Source organism: Homo sapiens, chromosome 19, assembly GCF_000001405.40.
Source record: "Homo sapiens chromosome 19, GRCh38.p14 Primary Assembly".
In the NCBI taxonomy this organism is placed as follows: Eukaryota; Metazoa; Chordata; class Mammalia; order Primates; family Hominidae; genus Homo; species Homo sapiens.
The window spans coordinates 31,540,705-31,564,270 of NC_000019.10; the positions used below are offsets into that span (position 1 = coordinate 31,540,705).

The 23,566-nt window shown below is 47.0% G+C and overlaps 1 long non-coding RNA gene across 1 annotated transcript in view, besides 1 other annotated feature; it reads left to right on the plus strand.

Moving 5' to 3' along the window:
• LINC02841 (long intergenic non-protein coding RNA 2841) overlaps positions 1-14,099 on the plus strand; it is a 34,617-nt gene extending 20,518 nt beyond the window's left edge. Inside the window, exons 2-3 of the long non-coding RNA NR_184026.1 lie at positions 7,804-7,866; positions 13,879-14,099. This is a non-coding gene — a long non-coding RNA (long intergenic non-protein coding RNA 2841). The remainder of the gene's footprint in view (positions 1-7,803; positions 7,867-13,878) is intronic.
• Positions 12,334-13,533: an enhancer, noted in NCBI's record as "P300/CBP strongly-dependent group 1 enhancer chr19:32043944-32045143 (GRCh37/hg19 assembly coordinates)". NCBI's record gives its function as "activates an origin of replication core promoter dependent on BRD2, BRD4, P300/CBP, MED14 and CDK7 cofactors, with strong dependence on P300/CBP, by STARR-seq in HCT116 cells {active_cell/tissue: HCT116}" and the evidence as "EXISTENCE:reporter gene assay evidence [ECO:0000049][PMID:35650434]".
• Positions 14,100-23,566: the final 9,467 nt, after the last annotated feature.

Here is a 23,566-nt window from a genome sequence, read left to right on the forward strand (position 1 = left end):
AGGAGCAGTTAGGTTGGGTCCACATCTTTGCCATCGTGAATTGCGCTGCAATCAACATACACCTGCAGGTGTCTTATTTATAAAATGATTGCTTTTCCTTTCGGTAGACGCCCAGTATGGGATGGCTGGATCAAATGGTAACTCTACTTTTAGTTCTTTGAGAAATCTCCATACTGTTTTCCCATAGAAGCTGTACTAGTTTACATTCCCATCAGCAGTGTCTGAGCGATTCCTTTTCACCACATCCACCCACACATCTTTTTTTTTTTTTTTCCTTTTAAAACATGGCCATTCTGACTAGGGTAAAGTGTTATCTCATTATGGTTCTAACTTGCATTTCCCTGATGACTAGCAATGTTGAACATGTTTTCATCTTTGTTGCCATTTGTATATCATCTTTTGAGAAATGTCTACTCATGTCGTTCACTCACTTCATAATGGAATTATTTGTTTTTCTCTTGCTGATTTGTTTGAACTCCTTGTTGATTCTAGATATTGATCCTTTTTTGGGTGTACAGTTCCTTCAGATCACCTGCAAGCCTGGCAGGTTCTCCAGCCAAGAGCCCAGACAGGCTTGGTACCTGGCAGAAAGTCATGAAAGCTCAGTTTTCACATCTGTAAAATGCAGAACCCTTTCCGGGTACTTCCATGTCAATGAGAGAACTCTGACTCCTTTATTTCTAAGGACCACATACCTTACTATTTCTCCTCTCCCTACACATTTAGACAGTGGGCCTCTGGTTTGAACTGTTCTTGCTGCTTAATCTTACAGAGAACGTTCTCAGGATTCCCCCTATCTTGATGTGTCTCTCTGCATCAGCCACTCCATCACCTGAAAGCTTTGTAGTAACACAGCACCTCTCAGCTGAGGCTTGCTTCTCTTACACAAGTGCTTCCCAGCATGCACTGATAACACTCGGCCACACAGGGAGAGAGGAGCTGATAAGTCCACATGCACATCAGAAAATGATGCCTTTTAAATGCAACAGCCACCTTATTCTGGAGGTAAATCACAGCACTGAAAAATATCTACAGGTACCTATGGAGGAGGAAGATAAAAGAAAAAATACCTTTTTTTGGATGGAAAATAAGAAGCCAAGAAGAATAAGGTTTTCATGCATGGACTATGTCAAGGTCCCACGATTGCCACCAAGACCACCATGATGGAAGCATCTTCTTCATTGGCCAATGGACATCAGTGCAAGGATGGTCGTGCATGGAAAAGAGGAGGCAGAAGGGCGGGAGGGACTTGGTCAGCCTTCAGAGTGAGCAGACTCTAAACTGGACTTCTACCTGGCCCATCAGATCATACTGCTCATGCAGTCTGTTTGGGTTTTGTTTCCTCTGGGGACCTCTTTCACTCCCACAAATATCCTACAACCCTTGAGTAGGAATTAAAACCCATCAGAGATCGAAATAGAATTGGTTATGGTAAAAGGGAGCTGAAACAGTGAGAAAGGGAGGAGAAGGGAAGAAAGATTAAGGCAGACAAGGGAACCTGTGGAGAGAGTGAGAGCTAGAGACAGAAGGAGAGAAGAGGCAGGGCCGTGGAAACAGACACACCATCTCTCCAAGTCCTTCTCAAAGACACTGGAAGAGTTCTGGAAACCGAACAGGTATGGAACACGGCAAGTAGTGGAATGGAGAGCTCAGCCCATTTTCTGGATTTTTAGGGCCCCAGATCACACATCCTGGAATTTCTCATGTTGTTCTCTTTATCTTTGTTACCCATCCCCGACCTAGATTTTCAGCCTGCAAAGGCACTCTTGCTTTCATCAAAACCAGAATTCCCACTGTGTTTTTGTCAAGCACCCTTGCCTTCCTCCTGGGATTCTCATCTGCCTTTTGTTTCAATTCTGTATCTGTCTGCCCTGTCTTCTTCTTCTTCTTCTTCTTCTTTTTTTTTTTTTGTCTCACTCTGTCACATAGGCCAGAGTACAGTGGCATGATTTCAGCTCACTGCAACCTCCGCTTCCTGGGTTCAAACAATCCTCGTGCCTCAGCTTCCCAAGTAGCTGGGATTATAGGCATGCGCCACCATGCCCAGCTAATTTTTTTATTTTTGGTAGAGATGGGGTTTCACCATGTTGGTCAGGCTGGTCTCCAACTCCTGGCCTCAAGTGATCCACCTCCCTCGGCCTCCCAAACTGCTGGAATTACAGGTGTGAGCCACTGCACCCGACCAACCCTGTCTTCTTCTTTAGGTCAGAATTATCTTGTTGCCTTCACAGACCACAGCTGGTCAGCTGCTTCTTCCACCACTCTGACGCAACTCAACTCAGTCCATCGTCTCCACCCCATACAAGGAACCCCAGTTGGCCAGCAAGGTCTCCCTGACAGGGGAAGCATTTCTCTAAGCTCAGAGGGGTTGACAAAGTGGAAACTGCCCACTCTGGAGGTGGCTTCTTCTCCCCAAGGCCAGCACAGAATTCTCCTGGGCTGTGGCATTCTCTTGGAGAGCATCTTGATGCAGATGAAGGGTGCTATATAAATCAATGGATCATAAGTCTGTTGGACAGCACTTATATAGGTAAATGCATGTATGTTATTCACTCAGTGAACCTTCCTAAAAAAGATAATATGCTCAATATCTCACCGTGCTGACATATTTCAACTCAATTGATAATGGGTCAGGATTGAGCAAGGCTTACAGAGTGAATTACCTTTTAGCCATCCCTTCCAGTTTAGGGTTGCAGTCACCAACAAAATCAATGTCGAAGGATTCTTGTTGTCTCAGGCAATACCAACAGTGACTCCTAATGAAATAAACCATTGAAACCTTTTAATCAGACCACCTGCCTAAAAGGAGGAAGCCATCCAGCGGAGGCTGGGGCTCTAGGGATCTATTTTCCCCTTACCGGTCAACGCATGAGTGATTCTTTAATTGTAGTAATGATGTGCTTACCCTGGACCCAGACACTTGGGCAGCAAGAGGCAGCAATTCTCTGGGGCAGAGGGTTGGCGTGACCTCAGCTGGGGCTGCACAGGTCCCCGAGCAGGGCTGCATCACCAGGGGCCATGCAAATGCCTCCAGGTTAGGGGCCTGTTTGACTCCCAGACATGTGATAAATCTAAATCTCTATTGAAAGAAAGCCCTGCAATAAATGAGCCCTGCTCTACATCTGAATTCTAGAGTCACTGTTACAAAAATAGGAGCTGGCTGCAAATGTGACCATCAATGGGCTCCTGCCTCTACCCCTTGCTCTTCCCTCCTCCCTGACCTGCAAATTTCTGAAAAATTAGCTAACATCACCTTAAATATATTTAAATATTAGGAAGCCAAAGGGAGTCCAAAAACACCAGAATTGACCTAGAAGCTCTCTGCAAGGCTCTCTTTTGTGTCCACTGATTCACTCTGAGGCACATTTATGGTTTCCTTCTTCTTTATGGATCATTCCTGGATTTTCTTTGGAAATTCTTCTTTCCCTCATGCTCCTGTCTGAGTGTGCTCTTCTCTTAGCTCTGTGGTGGACCTAGGATTCAGGTCTGTATTAGTCTGTTTTGCATTACTATAAAAAATATCTGAGGCTGGGTAGTTTACAAAGAAAAGAGGTTTATTCGGCTCATGGTTCTGCAGGCTGTACAAGCATGGCACCATGAATTTTTTATGGAGAGGCCTCTAGAAGCTTTTACTCATGGCAGAAGGTGGAGGGGGCAGGCATGTCACATGGCAAGAGGGAGCAAGAGACATGCCAGGCTCTTTTAAACAACCAGCTCCCACGTGAACTAATAGAGTGAGGACTCACTCATTACCATGGGGAGGGCACCAAGCCATTGATGAGGGATCCACGCCCATGACCCAAATATCTCCCATCAGGCCCCACCTCCAACACTGGGGATCACATTTCAGCATGAGATGAAGAGGGGACAAAACATTCTAATGATATCAAGGTCTAACTTAGTCAGTAGTTGATTCCCTAATGAATCTCATCCTGTCAACCAGAGTGTCAACTCAGGACTTCTAATGGGGTGACTAACAGAGAAAGGCCTGGTTCTCTCTTTCCAATCAGACATGGACCTGTGGAGTGTGTTTCTGGTTGGTCATTAGCTGGTGAAAAGCCCATCTGAAAATGTGACCCACACCAAGGAAGTTGAGATAAGAGGCTAAGGCAGTGATTCCAAGCCTCAGGATTCCTACCTGAAGTTCTGACCCCCAAGCAAGATCTTCTTGGATTATTTGGTTTGTGAGTCAAGAAGTTCCCTCTTCACTCTGGCCACTTAGGCTTCTTAGGCTTGGTTTTATCTCCCTCCTTGTCCTCTTCCTCCCTCCTCCTCCTTCTCTTTCTCCTTCATCTCTTCTTCTTCTTCTTCCTCCTCCCTCCTCCTTCTTCTCTTTCTCCTTCATCTCTTCTTCCTCCTCCTCCTTCTTCTTCCTCTTCTTCTCTTTCTTTTCCTCCTACTTTTCCTCTCTCTCTCACTCTCTCTCTTTCTCTCTCTCTCTGTTGTCACAGGCAATCAAAGAATCCTAATGGATTTCACCCACCTACAAGGAAAAACCCATGAGCATTGGGAAATAAGGCTTCTTTACATCTGAGGAAGAAGCCCTTCCTGGGAATCCACTGAGGAAGGGCTCCTGTGCTCCTGTGACCACAGCACCAATCCATGAGGCTACTGGTTTGAGTACTAACCAATAAATTTACAAAGAGCCTTTTAAAAAGCCCTAAGAAAGAATTGAGGGCACAGATGGGAAGGGAACTGCCTTTCTTGGTAAACAAATTAAAAGAAGAGCCACTATCTGTCTAGCTGGTCATACTCAGAGGCACATGATCCCTTGAAGTCCCATTTTTCTGATTGATGATGATGGCTACAGAGAGGAGCTCCTGCTATGGATAACTTTGTTGAATCCCCAATGTGTCTAGAATGGCCAAGAATGAGTCTCTCAGCAGCCAGCACCCCTTAACACTTCCCATGAAAGATCTTTCGGGTCCCTAGAAAAGATCCGTTCATACGCTGGATAGCTGGATCAGTGGAGATGACAAATAAGGTGATCAGGCATGCCAGTAAGTTGGAAGAAACCAAAGTCAAACCAACAGAGTATGAGTTCTCCTTTCCCTTGGGTCTATGTGGAAGCTTCCTAGATGTCTGAGCACCCAGACCCCAATAACTTCCTCTCACCCCCAGCCCTCTTTTGGGGCCAGTGCCATGGGACCAGTTAGTGCAATGGAGGTCCAGCATTCTGCAGGATCCTTGAGTAGGAAGCTGGTGGAGCACCCACCGCCCTTTGTCTACCACGGTGATGAATGGTTGTTGACAAGGCTAAACAAAGGTATTATTAGTAGATTACATCTGAGAGGCTGGACTCATGCAGAAACAGGGCAGCAAGAGCCCTGGGCCCTGCTCAGCCCCCAATTAGTCCACAAAAGCCTAAACCACCAGGTCAGGGATAAAAGTGAATAAATGTTTCTAAATTCTTATCTTAAACACACTTAAGCTTAAAGCTATTTAACTGGAGCTTTAAAAGCATGTGAGCTTCCTGGAGCCCAGCTACCTGCCTCATTCTCTTGCTCTTATTTTTGCTTTTATCCTTTTAGTCTGAAGAAGCCTAATTAGAAGCCTGAACAGGGCTCTCTCTCCCTGCCCTTAAATCAGTAATTGGCTTCAGTGCAGAGACTGTCAGGAAATTAACACATCACAACATGACAGCTGTTAATTTTTTCTCCTTATTTGTCATATGAATCACCGCTGATTTGCCGGAGTGCATAACAAATTAGTGGGCTGTAATCAGCGGCCTCTCTTCTGTGAGCTGCACCTTCCCTTTTTTTTTCCCTTTTTCTCCCCTCTCTCTCTTTTTCTCTCTCCCCCTACAGTCCATTACTTCACTGCCTCAGCAGAGATGACTGCTCCTAGGTGTGTCATTGTCAATAAATCAGAATAAGCAAATGCTAAAAGCGCAAGAAGCTCTTTAAACTTTGATGAAGGCTTTTAGTTACATTTTTAAACTTACACTCATAACTTGAATCTTTTTTTTTTTAAATTGTCACTCCCCGGTAGTGATAGACTGTCAGGTTTCCAGTCATTTCCTCATCCAACGTGCCAGGGAAGGTGGAACTCCAAGTGTCATTTGCACAAGTTCTGGCTGACGGAGGAGGTGGAAGAGGTGTTAAGGAAGGCAGGGGAAGGGAGAGATATCAGAGATTCCAACAGGGTCAGACCAAGGCACTTTCCCTTTTGAGTGAGAGATTTAGGGGAGGCCAGGTATGGTGGCTCACGCCAGTAATCCCAGCAATTTGGAGGCCGAGGTGGGTGGATCACTTGAGGTCAGGAATTCGAGACCAGCCTGGCCAACATAGTGAAACCCCATCTCTATAAAAAAAATACAAAAATTAGCCGGGCATGGTGGCATGCACCTGTTGTAGTGCCAGCTACCCAGGGAGGCTGAGGTGGGAGAATCATTTGAACCTGGGGTCAAAGGTTGCAGTGAGTCAAGATTGCACCACTGCACTCCAGTCTGGGCAACAGAGTGAGACCCTGTCTCAAAAAAAAAAAAAAAGAGAGAGAGATTTAGGGGAGAGAGGAAAACAGGAGGAAAAATGGGAGGTGTACACACAGGGTGGGAGGAAGAGACATGGATTCTGGAATCTCATCCTCCTCAACCTTTCCAACTTGATTTATTGTCCACTATATCTGAGTCATTTGAGGAGTGTGGGCCTTTGTTTGAACGCCTTTGTAGGGACAGCCAGGACTACCAAACAGAGTCATGGGTTCTCAGACTTTATTTCTCATTCAACCTTGCAGAAGACATATTGGTGGGCCTTAAACTCAATACTTATCACCTCCTGAAAGGAGGAAGCATAGGAAGGATGGTAGCACTGGAAGGCTTCACCATGTGGGTTTCAGTTCTAGACTCTAAGATTTGCCAAACAAATCTGTGTTCTCTGCATCCATACTGTGGATGCAGAAGGGGAAGGCACTTCTTCCTTCTTCCTTCTCAGCCTGGACCTATTGTACTGACAAGCCCATGTCTTCCTAACCTGGGGCCAGTAGGGAGTTGGTGGTGGCTTCACATTGGGGCACCGCCTCTCAGGGACCTATCAGCATGTTCTGTTGGCTATTACAGACTGATGTTGAACCTAGGGGTGAGAGTATTTCAAGGGTGAATTTCTTCTTTCCTTTCATTTACTACCCATCCATGCATCCATCCATGCATTCATCCATCCACCAATTCATCCATTCATTCATGCACCAATTTATCCATCAACCCATATACCCATTCATCCACCCACCCACCTATCCATCCATCCGTCTACCCATCCACCCATCCATCCACTCATTCATCCATCCATTTACTCATCCATCCATCCATCCATCCATCCATCCATCCATCCATCTCCATCCATTATCAGTGCACTTTGCATGCAGCAGCATGGCATGAGCCCAGTGCATGAACAGGAGGTCAGAGGGAGAGTGTGGGAAATGCTATCTATCTCAAGATAAGCCCCTCTCAAGGTACTCCAGGATGTCCCCATGGTGGACATGGAGGAGGGCGAAAAAGCCTTGCATTCTTAACCATAGCCATAAGCAGGTGGGTTATTCTATGTATCCATATTAGTCTTAAGTCATCCTTTTCCCAAGAGTTACTCTAATGACTTTCTTGCACTAAATTCTAATTTGCTACTTGAGAGTTGAGTTTGGTTCAGTTTATCGAGTACATTAGCAGGACTATTATGCACTAGATACTAGTTTAGGAGCAAAAAATTCAATAAATTAGGGTCTATGCCCTTGAAAATTATATAGGTTTTAGAAAAGCTGTCATAATTTTAAAACTATGTTTTATTCGTTTGTTTTTCAATTCTCAACACCCAGGATGTGGAATGTATGCCCTGCAGGCTGGTCTCTTTCCTGAGAGCTGAGATGTCCTGTCCTAAGGTACACAAAATAGTCTTCTAAACATCAGCCATTTTAATAGACAGAGCCATGAGGTCTTGCTCATGTGAAAGCCACTGAAATCTTTTGGAAATATAATAATTGTCTTTTTTTTGCTTGTGATAATTTATGTATGTTCAATGTATTTAAATACAGTTTAATATGCTGCATCTTATAAAAATCACTGCTGAGAAAGTTTCTGTCTAATGTCATTTTTGTAAGCTCCAAGAAAGGGTTTTTGAGCAAAATACCAATTTTACAATTACTCCGTTGAATCCTAATTTAAGAAAAGAATCATTTATTCATTATGTGAGGTGGAAAGAATTTTCCAGGAGAGACTAAGATTGACAGTAATGAAGTAGGAGCTTCACAGAAGAAGCGGTAGTGGGAGTTTTGAAATTCTGGGACCAGCGCAGGCCCACCATAGGTATGGACACCTGGCTGGTCCTGAGGGCCCCCACAAGAGTGGGGCATATCAGGTTAGATGCCTCTGAAGACAATAAGGATGGATTCAATAAGTGTTTCCAACACTTGGCAGAATCCAGTGGACCAATGAATCCTGCCACCTGCTGGCTGGCCCTTGAGGGGAAGGGCGCTCTTCCTCTACACAGTAGTATCTCTCCAGCACAAGCTGACTTCACTATCCTCCCATTCCTGCTGTCTTTGACCTGTAGTCATCTTCTATTCCTACGTTATACAGAGCTTGCTTTTCTCTGAGCACATCCTTTGTACTCCTCTCCCTTCTTAATGGCTGTATGGAAGCCATGTTTCTTGATTAAAAAACCTCCTTAAACACACCTTATATCTTCAACGTCCATGCTATAGTGACTGCTGTGGTCTTGGTGATACACTTTAGGAAGAAACTTTCCCTGCAGCCCTCGAGGGTGGCATGTCAGGATCAGGAGTTTGTGTCTTCTTTGTATCCCAAGACTTTTGAGAACTATTTCTACTTCTGCCTCTGCACCTTTTAGATTAGCACCATCTGGCTCTGCTACCCTCTACTTCTTATGATCCCCAGCATTTACCACTCTCCTGGGCACTTTTGCCATTCACCAAGAATCATGAGAACTGGGTCAACATCCTCCTCTACCACCAAATATTGTCATTATGAAGGGTGAACTCAGCTTTAACAAGGATGATCTGTAGCCCATCACTGTTGTGTTACAGATGACTGATCCACTTGCCCATCTCAGTGACCTCACCCTACTTTAGCCAGCCAGCCAGGTGCTGGACCATCTCCGCCCCTAGGTGCACCATACCTTCTCCCCAAAACTACAACTCTCTCAAATCTTAAATGCTAGAACCATCTCATTCTCAGGTCCAATGTCTTATCCTAGCTCTCTTAAAGATTTCCTCATTTTTGTACATTTACTTCTATTTTTCTGAGACTTCTGGGTCTTGGATGCTGATATCATTTGTATTCCCACCCAAATTTTGACCTGTCATCCCAAGATGTCAAGGGAGGGACCTGGAGGGAGGTAATTGGATCATGTGGGAGGTTTCTCCCATGCTGTTCTCATGATAGTGAGGGAGCTCTCACAAGATCGGATGGTTTTATAGGGGGCTCTTCCCCCTTCACTTGCTTGCTGTCTCTCTTGTTGCTTTGTGAAGAAGGTGCCTTGCTTCCCCTTCACCTTCTGCCCTGATTGTAAGTTTCCTGAAGCCTCCTCAGCCATATGGAACTGTGAGTCGATTAAGCCTCTTGTATTAGTCTGTTCTCACGCTGCTATAAGGACATACCTGAGACTGGGAAATTTATAAAGGAAAGAGGTTTAATTGACTCACAGTTCTGCAGGGCTTGGGGGGCCTCAGGAAACTTACAATAATGGCAGAAGGGGAAGCAAACATATCCTTCCTCACATGGTGGCAGCAAGGAGAAGTGCAGAGTGAAGAGAGTGAAGATGGTTATAAAACCATCAGATCTCATGAGAACTCACCCACTATCACAAGAACAGCATGGAGGTAACTGCCCCCATGATTCAATTACCTCCCATTGGATCCCTCTCATGACACGTGGGGATTATGGGAACTACAGTTCAAGATGAGATTTGGGTAGAAACACAGCCAAACCCTATCACCTCTTCCCTTTATAAATTACTCAGTCTTAGGTATTTCTTTATAGCAGTGTGAAAACGAACTAATACAGATGCCTTCTGAGCATCTTCTGAGATTCTGAATAGAATCTTCTGAGCATTCTATTTTCCTTCTGAGCAGTGCTTTCTCCCTTTGTTTCTCCATCTCATCTCCATGGTCTTTTGTTTCAACCATTCTCATGCCACTGAGTCTCCTCTATGACACTCCTCCTTTGCTTGTTTATGCCTCACCCAGGCAAATTCTTATTCTTGAAGCAATCTCTTCATTCCCCACCTCTATTTTCACTCTGAGTTGGCAAGGACCACTGGAGAAACATCACGCAAACTTTGCAAAGCTTGCAAACTGGAGGCACCACAAACACAAGTTCTTTAGGTGCTGATGAGTCTTCTGCACTGATGAGCACTCCTGCAAGGTTTCTCTCCAGGGCAGTAAATCCTCTGAGTGGTTATTCCAAAACTCCTTAATGGTTTTCCAGTCCCTTACTGCCACCTCCCTCCCTCACCCTTCTCCTTCTCTCCCCTCTTGGTGGGAAGTCTGTCCCCATGTTGGAAGTAGTTCTCCTATCCCCACCTCCCTCCCTCATCCTCCTCCTTCTCTCCCCTCTCACAGCAGAAAGCCCATACCCTAGTGTTGGAGATAGGGCCTCTCAATTTCCCTCTGCTCCAGTCTTCCCATTCCTGCCCCCTGAGCACCATGGCTGGGTGGATTTATTCCTTCATACACACACACACACACACACACACACACACACACACACACACACTACCCAGGCTGGAGTGCAGTGGCGCGATCTCAGCTCACTGCTAAGTCTACCTCCTGGGTTCAAGCCATTGTCCTGCCTCAGCCTCCCAAGTAGCTGGGATTACAGGAATGCACCACCGCACCCAGTTGATTTTTGTGTTTTTAGTAGAAACGAAGTTTCACCATGTTGCCCAGGCTGGTCTTGAACTCCCATCCTCAGATGATCCACCCGTCTGGGCCTCCCAAAGTGCTGGGATTACAAGTGTGAACCACTATGCCCAGATCTCTTCTAGATTTTATCATCTCCCACTCTTTATCTCTCTTTGCTTATTCCTTCCAACAATTAAGCATACTTAAACATCATCCACATTTATGAAGAAAGATATCTCCTACAGCCCTAAGGACCTTTTTGTCCTCACAACCAGTAAGTTTCTAAAGAGTTATCATCTCTTGCTGGACCCACTTCTCATAGCTCTATTCCCTCTTTAACATACTACTGTTTGACTTTGGAGCCCTCCATCTCTCACCAAGATTGCTTAAATGCTTGCAGACAGATAACACTTTTCAATTTTCAGCTAACGTGTTTTATTTTTCCGCAAGCATGAGGGCATAACTACCTCTTGAAAATTTGACTTACGAGACACCACAGCCTCCCTGGGTTCTTTCTTTGCTGCCTTTCTGGCCATTCCTTTTTGGGCTCCTTCGGAGACTTCTCATGATCTCCTCTCTCTCTCTCTCTTTCTCTCTCTCTCTCTCTCTCTCTCCATACAATATGTCATTTCCTTGGGGTTTTATTGTATTTTTTCTCTTTACCCTACGTACTCTGTAGGCAAGCTTGGCCTCTCCTTTTGGGCTTCAAATATGACTTTAAGCCTAAACTTTCTGGGCATCTACTCTTGGATATCTCATGAGTATCTCCAAAGCGAACCTGCCGTCTCTCTCCCCGTCATCAATGGACTTCGGTTCTTTTCCAGGGATGAATGACAAGAGGTCATCCTGGGTTTCTTCCTCTCCAATACAGTCACTGTCTAATCAATCACCGAATTATATTGATTTCCCCCATCTGTCCATTCTTGCCGTTCCCACTGCCATGACCCTGATCCACCACCACTACTTTCTCTCATTTGATTAATACAACAGCTTCCATCTTGCCAGCCTTCACTATACCCAACATATTCCACACTGCAGCCAGCATCCTTTTTCTCAATGCAATTTTATTTATTTATTTTGAAATAGAGTATTGCTCTGTTGCCCAGGCTGGAGTGCAGTAGTGCAATCATGGCTCACTGCAGGCTTGACCTCCTAGGCTCAAGCAATTCTCCCACCTCAGCCTTCTGAGTAGCTAGGACTACAGGTGTGCCCCACCATACCTGGATAATTTTTTAAATTTTTTGTAAAGACAGGGTCTTGCTATGTTGCCCAGGCTGGTCTTGAACTCCTGGGCTCAAGCGAAATTTGACCTTGTCGCCTGCAGGCTGAGACACTGCTGCAGACTGCCCTCATCCTTGATGTGGTTTACAAGAACCTTTATGATGAGACGTCAGCCTAGGGTGGGTCCTCATTTGCCCACCCACATCACAGGTTCTAATCCAGAAACACTGAATTCATTCAGTTTCCTGAAGTTCTGATTTTTCTCTACTCTCTAGGCCTTTGTCCATGGTATTTTCTCTACCTAGAACACCGCTGTCTACCCATTTACTCCTCAGGTTTAAGCTCCACTGTTGCTTCCTCTGTGTAGCCCTCCCTAATGTCTGTCCCCACCTCCTAATCTCCCAACCCAGAGATTGGGGCCTGGGTTTCTGTTACTAGCAACACAGCCGGATGTGGCAGCTCACATCACGTGGCCTTGATGACATGTCTGTGCCACATCAGGCCCCACTCTGAGAAGACAGTACTCTGTGTTGGGGTAGAAGCTCCGTTGTGTTCATTGCTGGAGCCCTGCCAAGCACCACGCCTTGCCCAAATAGTTTCTCTGGAGGTGTCAGTCGAGTTGGTCAGATGCCTTAGTCATCGGTATCCACAGGGACAGACCTGAAGGTGCCTTTTCATATCCTTGCCTGCAAGTCAGTCTGTGTCTTAGACTCTAAAGTTTGGAATTAAATTTATTATCTACATATCTTTTGGATTTTATCTAATTTTCTAAGACAGCTGGGTCAATGAAAGTATCTTTATATCCCCAAATAAAAACTCACAAGCACTTAGATTCCGCATGAATCTAAGTAGCTGGTGATTTCAATCTCCTAGCAGATGCTTGGCCCTGCAATAGGCCCAGCTGGGCTGTGCCCTAGGGCTACCGCCCCTCGCACATGTTGGAACCCACCCCTGGTATTCTGGAGAAGCCCTCTCAGCTAGAATTATTTTCAGTTCAGCAGTTCCTGAAACCCTAGAGCCTGTAGAGGGAAAAACAGAAATGATTTCCAGTCCAGGGCAAAGTGAGGCTGCATGGAAAAAGAGAGAAAGTCAGTTGTTGGACGGCATCAAAAGTCAGCCTGTTCTATTAGGCAAAAATAAACAGAGGCAGGCAGAAACCAAACAAGACAAAAATGTTCATTAGCTGCGCCAACCCAGGCCACCCACTTCGTTGAACTGACCACATCACTTCGAGATTCCCTACACACGGCCCCACCCTTCCCTGCTCTCCCCAGGGGTAGACAAGGCATCAGAGTGGAAAGGAAGAGACCAGCTTAAACCAGAATAACCTCCATCCCCCACTTCCAAAGCTGCCCAGAGATGGGCTTTGGCAGCAGATCCACCAAGACGTCAGTCGTGGGGGAGTTCCCTGCCTGGCTGCCTCGGTTTCTCCTTGATAGCACAGACTCATTGTTATCCGTTTACGGAAATGAGCCTAAAACAGGGGTCAGAACAGATCAGTATCTGTGGGGAAGGGCAGCATTCTTTGGAGAGGCGTATTCAGGATTCATTATCTCTTTATAATTAAAAACAAACTATGTTTTCCCATTAAACTTTACAGAAAGTTAAGTCCAATTAAAGCATCTGGCCTCCTTAGGGAGTGCGGAGATAGCGTCCTCATTAGCTCCTGCAGCGACTCTTGGGGTTGGGGGAGGAAGGGCATGGAGATTTTACTTTATTTGTTTGTTCACTGAGTTTTTTCCTCACTCCACCGTCATGTGAAGGTGGGGATCTGCACATTTTGCTCACCACTGTATTCTCGACTCCTAGAACAGAGCCTGGCACGTGTCGGACAACTGTGGAGGGAACTGATGAGTGAAAGAGAGAATGGAGAAAGGAATGAATCAGCATAAGCCCCACAGGGACAAAGACTGTAACTGGAGCACCCTTTCATCCCCACTGCTGGACACAGGGTGGGGAACACTAAATGTGCGCTACGCATTGTTTATCGAAACAGGCTCTACATCAAAATAAAAAACAAAACGAAAAAACAGGAAGCTTTTCTGGATCAAGGCTAGCGTTTTACAGTTGAGATATGGAAGCCCAAGGAAGAAGGGAAATTTGAGATTTGCTTGTAGCCTCTGAGCTGGTCAGCTGGGAGGCTCTGGCCAAGGTGGGGTTGTTGAGCCCCAGGTAAAAGCCCCACCCAGCCCCTCTTCTTGCTGTCTGCAACAGGGCAGCCACACTCTGTGCTCACCAGGGAGTCTTATCTGGAGTTCAAGTCCCAAGACCTGACCTTCGGGGCCTCCCAATAAAAGGGCAGAGATCTTTCCTCATGAATACGCCGGGCCCTTGCGGCTCCCTCAACTCTCAGCAGCCGCCACAGATCCATTCTCCTCTCTGGCCCCAAGAGCACACCTGCTTGCAGGTTTCTGGATAGGGCTAAAATGAAACCGGGACAGGTGTCAGGTGAAGGGCCGAGGTCTAGGCCTAAGGGGTGCTGCTTTGCCCAGAAAGGCCCAGATGAGCCAGCCTTGATTTGCAGCACTTAGAAGAGCCCCTGTGGCTTTTGGCAACTCAGGACAATAGGTGAACTCCCAGGAAAGTCACTCTCCTTCCAGGCCCAGCCCAAATGCTACCTCCTCCAGAAGGCTTTGCTGCCCCCAGCACTGGTGCGATGTACCCCTGCTTGGTGGGAGTCCTCTCCTCTGGGTCTCCAGTCACTTCTCAGTGGCCTCCCTCTCAGCTTGTTCATCTGTCGTTGCATAGGACCGTGTGCGTCAACACCAGGACAATGTTTCTGGTCTTCTTTGAACCTTCTGTGTCCAGCACAGTGCCTGACTCCCAGCAGGTACTCAGGAAATACTTCTGACAGGTAGAAAAGGCCTCTCTGCATCTTTAGAACCAGAGAAGCCAAAAGAAACTGAAAAGATGCTCTATAAGAGGCTCAGGGGTTACAGAAGGAAAGGCTGTGAAGGAAAAGGATGCAGCCCTGGCCAACAAGCTGAGATCTCTGGCCGTCCTGTCGCCTTTCTGGGCCTCAGGGCCACGAGGCTGCTGGATGCAGTGGGACTGACCCCTGGTGTCCACCCTGGGACAGTCAGATCACATGATCCGTATTAGATAAAAAAAGCAAATATACACCTTTGTTTAAGATGCCACATGCCTGATCAAAGTAAAGGCTGTTTACTCAACCACTTGTTAAACTCAGGAATAGCAGACTTGCTCATCTGAACCCAAGCTTGCAGACAGGACGGGAGAGCAGAACTCATGCCCGAGGGCTTTCCCCGGAGCAAAGTCAGGGCTGGAATGCTTGCCAGGACAGCTTGGAAGGTGGAAGGAGGCGGCAGCACCTGTCCTCAGTGTGTGTGTGTGGTTTTTCTCACTTCTCTTCCCTTACCCAGTCTCTCCTCTCTTTGGAGGTTATTTGTGGGGCACATAGGCTGAGTTTCCTGGGAAGTAGACTCTTGGGAAGGAGATTAGTGTGCAGGAGTTTGCTAATGAGTACTCCTGAGATCCCATCTATGGCAAGGAAGGAAACAGGCCTGAGCAGAGGATAAAGTCAGGCTGCCATGAAATCTTGGCCGAACGCTGCAGCCAGTCCTGCAGAGAGTCCTGAAGATGGGATGAGCCTTCAGAGCTGCCCAGCTCAAGGGAGAGAGTGCCGAGTGTGCCTCTACATACCCTGTCCCCATCAATCAACACTGGGCATCATTGCCTGGGACAGAGGTAGAGCTTGGGCAAGGCAGTGGTCTTCAGCCAAGGCAATCCTGAAAGGGGCTGGCTGCTGCGGGCTGTCTGTCAGGGGCTCTCCCAACAGAGAGGAGAATGAGTTCTGAAACGAGGTCTATGCAGCCCCTCCCAGCGGCCACCACATGGGGGTTGACAGTGAAGGTGATCGGAGTGGCATCAGCCGTGGTAGCCAGAGAGCTGTTCAGCTTGATGGGGAAAGGGAGTAAGGAACGAAGAATGCAACCCATGTGAATTCTTCTAATCATGCCTTCTCTAACCCCCAGCACATTAATCTTGCCTGGCTTAGAAGGGAGTCAAGTGTCAAATTTAAGGCTATTCTACTTTTTTTTCTTCTAATTCTATTTCCATAGGTTATTGGGGAACAGGTGGTATTTGGTTACCTGAGTAAGTTCTTTAATAGTGATGTGTGCACCCATCACCCAAGCAGTATACACTGCACTCAATTTGTAGTCTTTTATCCTTTACCCCCATCCCACCCTTTCTCCCCGAGTCCCCAAAGTCCACTGTGTCATTTTTATGCCTTTGCATCCTTATATCTTAGCTTCCACTTATGAGTGAGAACATACGATGTTGGTTTTCCATTCCTGAGTTACTTTACTTAGAATACTAGTCTCCAATCTCATCCAGGTTCCTGCAAAAGCCATTAGTTCATTCCTTTTATGGCTGAATAGTATTCCATTGTACATATATACCACAGTTTAGTTTCTTTATCCACAAGTTCATTGTTGGGCATTTGTGTTGGTTCTACATTTTGCAATTGAGAATTGTGCTGGTATAAACAAACGTGTGTGCAAGTATCTTTTTCATATAATGACTTCTTTTCCTCTGGGATTGCTGGATGAAATGGCAGTTCTACTTTTAGTTCTTTAAGAATCTCCACACTATTTTCCACAGTGGCTGTACTAGTTTACATTCCCACCAGCAGTGTAGAAGTGTTCCCTGTTCACCACATCCACACCAACTCTATTATTTCTTGGTTTTTTGGTTATGGCCATTCTTGCAGGAGTAAGGTGATATCACATTGTGGTTTTGATTTACATTTCCTTGATCATTAGTGAGTTCAGTGAGGTTAGCATTTTTTTCTTTTTTATTTGGCCAGTATATATTCTACTTGAACGACCCGCATTCTATAAACTCAGACATCCAACCCGGAAGCCCTTCTTCATTGATCAGAAGGGGAGGAGAGGCCTGGAGGGGGGAAAGGAATGGCTCCCGGCCATGCAGCATATGGAGCCAGGAGTAGAGCCACTGATGCTGTCTCCCAGTCTAGGGTTGAGCCAAGAGCACCTTTTTGGCCTATGCCTTGCAGGTGACCATCTTTCTCTCCCATCAACACTGCACCGTAGACCCAACCTTGTGAAATTTTTGCACTTTCACAAAACCCAGTTCAAATCAATGAGGCTTTCTGAGTTCTTATTAACTGCTCAGTAGTGTCCTCAGGCTACAAGGAGGCAAGAAAGAGAGGAGTCAAGGTGCTGCCTTTGGTCCAGGAAACAATAACCATGGCCAGAAAGCAACCAGGAGTGGTGGCTCACGCCTGTAATCCCAGCACTTTGGGAAGCCTAGGAGGGTGGATCACTTGAGGTCAGGAGTTCGAGACCAGCCTGGCTAACATGATGAAACCCCATCTCTACTAAAAATACAAGAAATTAGTCAGGTGGGGTGGTGCGTGCCTGTAATCCCCACTACTCGGGAGGCTGAGGCAGGAGGATTGCTTGAACCCAGGAGGTAGAGGTTGCAATGAGCTGAGATCGCACCACTGCACTCCAGCCTGGGCAACAGAGTGAGAGTTGGTCCAAAGCAAAACAAAACAAAACAAACAAAAGGCATGGCCAGAGAGTAAAGGGAGAGCACAGCCAGGCAGGCCGGAAGCAAACACCCTGCGAGCATATTCCGACCCAAGGGGCAGGTGTGCACTGCTCAGGGTGGGCCAGGAGAGAGGCTGTGGAGGAGCCTTGGGAATGACTTTCTGTCCTGGCAGTAGTGTAAGGATGTCAAGAAAGATGTATGGGAGGACAAAGGCATTGCCTAGGGTGGGTGGTCCAGGCAGGGCACCCCTGCACCTCTTAGCAGAACTTGAGGTGAGCCAGGAAGTCACATTGCAGAAGGACAGAATTGTGTCTGATGGTCACTGTGGCAGGCCCCTGTCCTACCTGGGAAAAGGCCACTCTCTTTGGAGTTCAGTCAATGAGTGGTCACACTGGAGAACAGCAATCCTTGATGCTCTGGTGGCATCCAGAGTTCTGCAGAGGACCTGCCATGGTCGGGGGTTGTGATTCATAAGGAGGCCACTCGCTGCAGGCAGGCCAAGGCTGCAGAAGGAGACATCAGGGAAACAGAGGGAAGACACAGAAGCGGGGACATGGTAATATCCACATGGTAAATATCACAGCAGATATAGCCCTGCAGGAATTAAAGCCACCAGAGATTAGAGTCAACGGCAGCAAAGGAGAATTTTGGCGGCCTCGCTGGGACATTGGGCCATCCCAGGCTTTTCCATGAAGGTGGGGACATCTGGTGTTTTTATGGTGAGGGCCACCCAAGCCAGGCAAGTGTCTTTCCCAGGCTGCTGCAGAGTGGGGCAGCATTGGGTGCTCATAGGCATGGGGTTGGCCAGCAGCAGCCCAGGGGTCATTGTACTTTGCAACATTGCACTTGCACTCCCAAAAAGCTGCATTCCTGGAGCTCCTTCCCAGTTGTTTTGGAAAAGGTCAGAGCAACAACTGCATTTCTAGTACCACATCAGCAATCAAACTCCATGCCTGGATTGGCCTTGTTGAGGGGATGATGTTTCTAAGTGGTTGAATGGTGGAATACGAGCCCATGAATGCAGGGGTGACAGGGACTATTGCTGGGTCCCTAGGCTCTCATTCTACCAACATGTGCCCTATGTAATAGTCATTAGTGCCAGCAACAAGTATTCCTGAAGAAAGGCAAGCATTAATAGCTAGCTTTGTCAATGAAATGGGACAGATGTTACCTGTGTTTCTCCCAGGGTGGACACCTTTGGAAGAGTGCCTGATTTGCAATCTGCCCTGCTTCATGTTATGGGGACCAACAACATTCCAGGAGGCAGATTGTCTGTCAATCTGAGATTTCTGATGAAACCGCAAAGAACAGATTTCCAACACCATCCAACCCTGCCAAGATGGAGAAATTGTTCTAAGCTCATGAATTCGTAAAGTTGTTTGTTACTGCAGCACAACTTCTCCTATCCTGACTAATACAGCACATCTCTGCTTAAACTCTTCAATGGTTTTCCTGGAAACTATGGTATAATCCCAAATCCCCATCACAGCCTATAAGGCTTTATTTTTCTGCCTCTCTTCCAACTTCATCTTCCACTGGTCCTGCCTTTCTCACTCGGTTTCAGCCACAGTGAACTTTCTGTTTCTCAAATACGCCATGCTTATTCTGGTCCCAGAGTCCTGGCACTTGCTGTTATCTCTGCCTGGGATAATCTTCCTGACCCTCAGCTCTGACTGGATTCAGATCCTCTTAGATTCCACCGCCTTGAGCAGGCATTTATTTCCCTTACCACTCTGTCTAAAGTAGCCCAGTCACTGTCTATCATAGTAACCTCTTTTAAATTTTCTTTTGAGCATTCATTACGCTCTGCAGTTACTTAGGATTGTAAGTAAAATGCTTCTCTTTTCCCCTGGAATGTGAGACAGGAATCTTGTCTCTTGACAGCACCTAGAATAAGGCCTGGTATGCAATGAGAGTTCAGTGAACATTTCATGAGTGAATGAATGGATGTGTTATCCGTGGAATTCATTGACTCATGGACAACACACAAAGGAGAGACTAGATGAATGGTTCCATTTTTACAAACAGACAACTCAATGCGTCCCAGAAATCCAGCACTGCTGGCCCTACCTAGTTCCTGGCAGGGAACTCAGCTCTGATTTGGAGCACTGACCATTTCCTCCCAGATTCGGGCACAAGATTCACTGTGATAAATGGCCTGAGCTCCTCGTTGCATTTAATGGAAAACCCTGATCCAAGTGGAACTGCAGCCAGGTGGCCCGTGGGAGCCCTGGGATATGACTTCCAGGGAGACCACAAAACCTGGATAGGCGGACGCCGTTCCAGATACATTAACTCATAATCCCCAGGAAGCGCGCACTTCCGATGAAGGAAGAGGAGGCTTCCCCTCTCACAAACACTAATAGCCATGGTTAATCCTCATCCCAGGAAAAGGTTCTTGCCCAAGTGTCTGGAGAAGCTTCATCAACGTCAGCACAGGGACCCGATGCAGGGACAGATAATGGTTCCAGAAGGCGTCTGCTCAGCGGCCTTCTTGGATTATGGATTGTGTGGGGCCGTTGCTGGGGTGGTCCCTGAGCAGCAGGGAGACTGGTGCAGCCCCAAGCAGCTGCCCGGCTGAGCTCACCTGCTTGTTCTTGGTGTCCAGAGGCGGCTGTGGCTGTTCCTGGAATTTCGGATGTGTGCTTTTATGCTCAGTAGGGATGCGGGAGCCTGTGTCTGGGCTCCTAAAGTGAAAAGGGCAGGGCTCCAGTGATTTTGAATCAAGTTGGAAGTCCGAGATGCCCATAGAGCCAACCAGGCTGCCTCAGCCCTCCAAATGCACCTTGCCTGAGCTCCTCCTGCTGCCCTGCGACCCCGACACTCACCCCTTCCCCTTTGTCTCCTGTTCTTTTTCTTCTAGACTTGGCTGAGAACATCCTCCAGGTCTTAAAACCCAGCCTCCTGATTTTTGTTTCTCTCCCCTAGGCTGCGTGGTGCTGGGGGGATCCTGTGTCCTCCCAAATTTCCCATCTTCCCTCTCATGACTACTGCCAAACTCCACCCTCGGTCTTTTCCCCACCAGTTTCTTCTTGCGAGCCAGAACAGAGGCTCTCAAACAGCAATTCACACACCTGTGTCATTTGTGTTAAACGAAATAAAAAGAAAGGCCAAGAAGTAAGTATTTTTAAAAAAATATTTTTTGAAACAGGTTTTTTTTTCTTTCTTTCTTTTTTGAGACAGGATTTTGCTCTGTCATCCAGGGTGGGATACAGTGGTGCAATCATAGTTCACTGAAACCTCAATCTCCTGGGCTCAAGCAACCCGCCCACCTCAGCCTCCCGAGTAGCTGAGACTATAGGCACATGCCACCGCACCCAGCTAATTTTTTTTCTTTTTTTTTTTTTTTTGTTTTGTAGATACGGGGTTTTGCCATGTTGCCCAGGCCAGTCTTGAATGCCTGTCCTCAAGCAATCTGCCCACCTCAGTCTCCCGAAGTGCTGGGATTATAGGCGTGAGCCACCATGCCCAGCCTTCCAAGGAGTAAGTTTTTCATAAAAAGCTAAATGTATTTTCTTTAAAGGATTATCTGTTATTTGGGGAGGATTTTCATTTTGAGACAACATAGAGATGGCAGCTATTTATGCTCACATTTTTATCATGTGGACTGCACCTGGTATCCCGAAGCCTGAGCACATCCAGGACATGGGACATTTCTACCTGCCCGTCCTGTTGCTACCTGGAGTGTGTTAGGCTGAGACCTCATCATCCACCTTTCTGGGTCCTGTGTCTCACAGGGAGGTCTCTGGGCTCGTCTGTCCTCTAACCTCTTGACCCAGGGATCTCCTGCAGGAACCATCATGAGCTCACCCCTCATTCAGTGGATCACATTCATTCGTTCTTTTTCCTCTACTTCTTTGGGCTCCTCCTCCATCTCTCCATGCCACTGCCACTCCTGAAATTCAGAGACCTGTCATCTCCTGCTCACATTGCAGCATAGCCTCCAACTATTCCCGAGCCAGTGCGTTTTCAGCTCACCCTCATCCGCCAAGCAAAGGCCAGTGTGCCCATCTAGTTTAAACACGGCTTTAGTCTAGAAGTCACACACTGGAGGCCTTGGGGCTGTGCCCAATAAGAAGACATAGTAGCTACCCAGGGATGGTTTCTTCTTCTTCTCTTTTTCTTTTTGGTCAACATGTGTATATCTAAATATCAGAAGGCCCTGGCAAGGCTGGGTTTGCATTCTCGCATGTCAGTAATTACCTGGGGCTAAGCTTCCCCTTTGAGGCAGCTGGCCCTCTCCAGTTTGCCCAGATCCCGCCACTGCATGTTGTCTCTCACATGGTCCACTCCATTCATGAAGGTCACCTACCCATCATCTGAAGGCCCTGGTGGCTGCAACCCCTACGTGGTTTCCATCACCCTTCTTTCCAAGAAAAGTAAGCCCATAGATTCTGCGCAGAACTGAAAGAAAACTATTAAGTTAGGAGGCTGCCGTTAAGTTCCTTCCATGGTTTGGTGAGCCAGCAATAGCTCTCTACCTTGACTTCCCTTTCTGTGAAATGGGGATGCAATCAATCTTCACGTCTGGAGTACAAAGAGATGCCATGAAGAAGCACATTTACTTTGAATGCTCTGATCTCGTTGGAGAGCAGGTAACATAAAAATCCAAGGTGTTATTATTAGATAGTAAGAAATTTTGTTCCATGCTAATTAAACTCACACCTTACCACTTCCACACGGGGAAGAGGCAGCATGACAGCCTGACATGTTAGGAGCGGGAAGAGTTCTGCATGCGAGCACAAGACAGGCTGCCTCCTCCTCGCCGCGCCTGGCCGTGATGTGTGTGTAAATCTGCCTTCCAGCTCCTTCCTCTCATCCAACCGGGACTCCGACATTTGCAGAGAGGCTGATGGAGCTCTCAGCTCTGCACAGAGCATTGACTGTTCTCCGCGCGTGTTAAGAAGTTGTCAGGCTGGGGTCAGGCAGGTGAAGATTTAGTGAAGCAGCCAACAAAGTTTCCCCGCCATTGGGTTGCCACCACTTATGGAAACGCCTGCAGAACGCAAGCGAGAAAACAGATATTTCTCCTGCGATGACTTTAGCACTCCTTTGGGGATGGGGACATTAAGTCTTCCTCCACCGCCAGGAGGCTGCTGACAGGGCTGCCTCCCGAAGACTTGGTAGGGGGCGCCTTGAAGGAGAGTGGGCGCCAGCTCTATCGATCCGATTGCCCTATTGCAAGGGACAATTGCAGGAGAAAACAGCGGGTTTTTTTTCTCCTCCTTATTCCAGGGCCAAAGAAAAGACTATCCATGGAAGGTAATGTAGCTGTCACCAAGGAGAGAGAAGCGGAAATTCACGGTTCTCTTGTGAGGCAAAGACATCTGTGTTATTGCACCCTAAGCCAATAGTTTTTAAAACAAAGTCATAAAACAAGCTACTGTATATAAAAGAGGTGGAAGCTATGCAGGGCTCTCCCCTACTCTGTGCAGGGATTTGAAAAGAAGCAAACCTTAAAAGAAAAAAAGCAGAATGAGGATGACTGACTACAGAAAGCCTGAGGGATGTGGGTGGAGCTAAGAGGTGGTGGGGTGGCTTCCCTCCAACAGGAAGGATGCCTGCTTGCACTCAGGAGGGAGGGTTTGGGGGCACATGAAGAGTGAGGAGCTGGACAGAGGTGACACCCAGGCCTCCTTCAGCTCCAGCCCAGGAGAGGGTCAGGGCATATGCAGTCCCAGAGCTCTGTCACTGTCATGCACACACTCACCTGTGCTGAGCACCCATGGGCATACTCAGCTTCCACAAACATCTACCCATCTGATTTCCAAAACCACCTGGGAGACAGGCCAGATGGAATTACCGTCCTCATTTTTTTTTTTTTTCAGATGAAAGAACAGCAACTTGGAGAGATCCTCCTAGTTGGCCAAAGCCATGGTACAGGTCTTCTGACCTAAAATCCAGTGCCCTATTTTTTTTTTTTAATAAAACCTTCTTTCTTCTTCTCTGTCAAGGT